The following is a 3,719-nucleotide window of genomic DNA, read 5'->3' on the forward strand; positions in this document are numbered from 1 at the left end:
TCCTGATGCACCATTGTGAAAGTATGTCTGATACACACCACTAACATATATAACAAAGTATGGCATTTATTTCACAGAGAGAAAAGATAGTTTCATCACACAAACAGATTTGCAGATTTCAGCTTTAAGTTCTAAGGATATATTTTATTTATTATTTATTTATTTATTTATTTATTTGAGATGGAGTCTTGCTCTGTTGCCCAGGCTGGAGTGCAGGGGCACGCTCTCGGCTCACTGCAAGCTCCGCCCCCCGGGTTCACGCCATTCTCCTGCCTCAGCCTCCCGAGTAGCTGGGACTACAGGCATCCGCCACCGCGCCCGGCTAATTTTCTTGCATTTTTAGTAGAGACGGGGTTTCACCATATTAGCCAGGATGGTCTTGATCTCCTGACCTCGTGATCCACCCGCCTCGGCCTCCCAAAGTGCTGGGATTACAGGCGTGAGCCACCGCTCCTGGCCTACGGATATAAAGATAAAAAATAAAAACAAGATTCACCCTTCAAATAAAAAAGTCTCTCTCTCTCTATAAGCCATGATTAATACTCTTTATGCTCTTACAATGTAAAACATTTAGAAACTTCTGAATTCTAGAAATGTTCACCAGTTAACCTACTTGGCCTTAACATATTCTAAATTCCCTTTCAAGAATCACATTAATGTTTTCAGTCCATCGGTCTAACATGGATGGAGTAACTGTATTTCTTTTTCTTCTTCTTTGGTGGTTCATCGTCAGAGCTGCTAACTGTGCTGGTGCTGCTGCTACTGGAAGAGCTGGAATCTGAGTCTGAATCAGAGGAGGAGGAAGAGGTTGTGGAGGAGGCTGAGGATGAGGAACTAGAGGAAATTTCATGTGTCACTGTCCTCTGAGGAGGAAGAGGTAGATGTTTCTTCACTCTCTGATGAAGAATCACTTGCAGAACTGTCAGAGCTACTGGAACTGGTTACACTCTTAGGCCTTTTTTATTTTTTATTTTTATTTTTTCTTGAGACGGAGTCTCCTTCTGTCGCCCAGGCTGGAGTGCAGTGGCGCGATCTTGGCTCACTGCAAACTCCGCCTCCCGGGTTCAAGCGATTCTCCTGCCTCAGCCTCCTGAGTAGCTGGGACTACAGGCGTCCGCCGCCACGCCCGGCTCATTTTTTGTAATTTTAGTAGAGACGGGGTTTCACTGTGTCACCCAGGATGGTCTCGATCTCCTGACCTCGTGATCCGCCCACCTCGGCCTCCCAAAGTGCTGGGATTACAGGCGTGAGCCACCGCGCCCGGCAGACCTTTTTCTCTTGGCCTTTCTTTCTACATTGGTTTCTCCAGTGCTTTGTTGTAATAATAATCTGTTTTCTTTTAAAGCTTTCTTTAGTTCTGCTGTCCTTGAGGGCCTATGTAGGTATTTTCTTTTTCCTGTGCATTTATAAGTCCAATGTCCAAATTCCAAGCAATTCTGACATCTTACATGTTGCTTATTTGCTTCAGTTTGTCTCTGGGCTATGAGCTGATGCATGGGAGTCGCCAAAAAAAAGTGTTTTAAAAATTTATTTGGGCCGGGCGCGGTGGCTCATGCCTGTAATCTCAGCACTTTGGGAGGCCGAGGCTGGCGGATCACCTGAGGTCGGGAGTTTGAGACCAGCCTGATCAACATGGAGAAACCCTGTCTCTACTAAAAATACAAAGTAGCCGGGCATGGTGGTGCATGCCTGTAATCCCAGCTACTGGGGAGGCTGAGGCAGGAGAATCGCTTGAACCCGGGAGGTAGAGGTTGTGGTGAGCCAAGATCGTGCCACTACACTCCAGCCTGGGCAACAAGAGTGAAACTCTGTCTCAAAAGAAAAAAAAAATATTTGAATTAAATTTTCCTTTTTCATGAGAAGGCATATGAATGCAAAAATTAGCAATTTTTAGTAGTAGAGGAACATCTTCCCTCTGTGTCCACCTTTGTTTCAGTTCATGGGGTCTCCATGCAGCCACCAGGGAAACAGCCCTCATGACTAGAAACCCAGAGGTCTTCCTAGATGCTGCCTTCCTGTAAATCACCCACAGGTAATTACCAAATACTTCCATTCCTTCTCTAGTTCATTTTGGAATTCAGCCTTGCTCTTATCACCATCATCTCCAACTAGAGTCCTATTCACAGTCCTGGTCTTGGAAGTTCAGGTTGCCTTCTGCATATTATAGCCAGAGTAATTTTTTTCTAAACTATATTCTGTTCTCATGTACCTTCTGCTAATAACCTTTTTTTCTTGAATCGGGGTCTCACTCTGCCACCAGGCTGGAGTGCAGTTGTGTAATCACAGCTCACTGGAACCTCAACCTCCTGGGCTCAAGCAATCTTCCCACCTCGGGCCGGGCGCCGGTGGCTCACGCCTGTAATCCCAGCACTTTGGGAGGCCGAGGAGGGCGGATCACGAGGTCAGGAGATTAAGACCATCCTGGCTAACACAGTGAAACCCCGTCTCTACAAAAATACAAAAAAATTAGCCGAGCCGTGGTGGCGGGCGCCTGTAGTCCCAGCTACTCGGGAGGCTGAGGCAGGAGAATGGCGTGAACCCGGGAGGTGGAGCTTGCAGTGAGCCGAGATCGCGCCACTGCACTCCAGCCTGGGCAACGGAGCAAGACTCTGTCTCAAAAAAAAAAAAAAAATCCCACATCAGCCTCCCAAGTAGCTGGGACCTCAGGTGTGTGCCACCATGCCCAGCTGATGTTTTTATTTTTATTAAAGACGAGCTGGTTTTGAACTCCTGGGCTCAGCGATCCTCCTACCCCAGTCTCCCAGAGTGCTGGGATTATAGGCGTGAGCCAATGTGCCCAGCTGTTTATAATCTTTTAAAGGTTCCTTCAGGACAAATTCATGCTTCTTGGTACTCCAAGGACCTTCTCTCTCTGGCTCTAACCTGTTTAGCCTCATTTGCAGAAAACATTTCACTTATTTCCCTATCTCTGGTCCCACTGGCACCTCTACTGGTATACACTTGTGCTATGGCTTCCTGAAAGGCAATACCATCTCTCTTTTTGTATATTCTGCTCCAACTGACTGGAATGTTCCTCCCTCTGATCTACCTTTGCTGCCTATCTCGTATTCATCCTCCACGTCTCAACTGAGATAGCACTTCCTCCATGCCCCCTTCAGGTTGGCTCAGGTACCTATGTGCTATGTGCTATGTGCTCATGTGCTCCCACCCCATGCTGAACATCTCTCATGCTGGCCATTCAGGTCCTTAGTTACACTTTGAGTGTAATTGCCTCTTTACTTGCTGACTCATCCTGTAGAATATAAGTCCCCTCAGCGAGGGGATTGCATCGTGTACATTGCTGAATACCCTATGCCTAGCACAGTTCTTGTTGCAATACAAGTTTGTGGATTTGAGTGAATGTATAAATAAATGACTGGGTATATTAGATGTTTTCCAGCAGTCTGTACATTTAAACCCAGATCATAACAACAATTTCCATCTGAGAAATTTATTTTGTGCCAGGCAGGCTTAAGAGGTTGTAGGTATTATAAATTTAATTCTTAACATCATCCTATGGAGTAGACATTGTTAGCACCATTTAATGGGGATGCTGAGATGCAGAGAAGTTAAGCCACTCGCCCTCATTCATAAAGCAAGTGAGGGGCAAACTTAGGATGGTAAGATTGTCTGATCTCAGATCTTGTGCCCTTAAACTAACAGCTGCTTTGGGATTCTGCCTCTGCTGTTTTCAGTTGGTCCTGATGCTAATGGAGGGC

At 46.1% G+C, this 3,719-nt stretch overlaps 1 annotated feature.

The window, feature by feature from the left end:
* Nucleotides 1,079-1,578: an enhancer, noted in NCBI's record as "H3K4me1 hESC enhancer chr3:181584513-181585012 (GRCh37/hg19 assembly coordinates)". NCBI's record gives its function as "activates a minimal SCP1, AML or CMV promoter by ChIP-STARR-seq in primed H9 embryonic stem cells {active_cell/tissue: H9 hESC(primed)}" and the evidence as "EXISTENCE:reporter gene assay evidence [ECO:0000049][PMID:30033119]".

Source organism: Homo sapiens, chromosome 3 (assembly GCF_000001405.40).
Source record: "Homo sapiens chromosome 3, GRCh38.p14 Primary Assembly".
Taxonomy (NCBI): domain Eukaryota; kingdom Metazoa; phylum Chordata; class Mammalia; order Primates; family Hominidae; genus Homo; species Homo sapiens.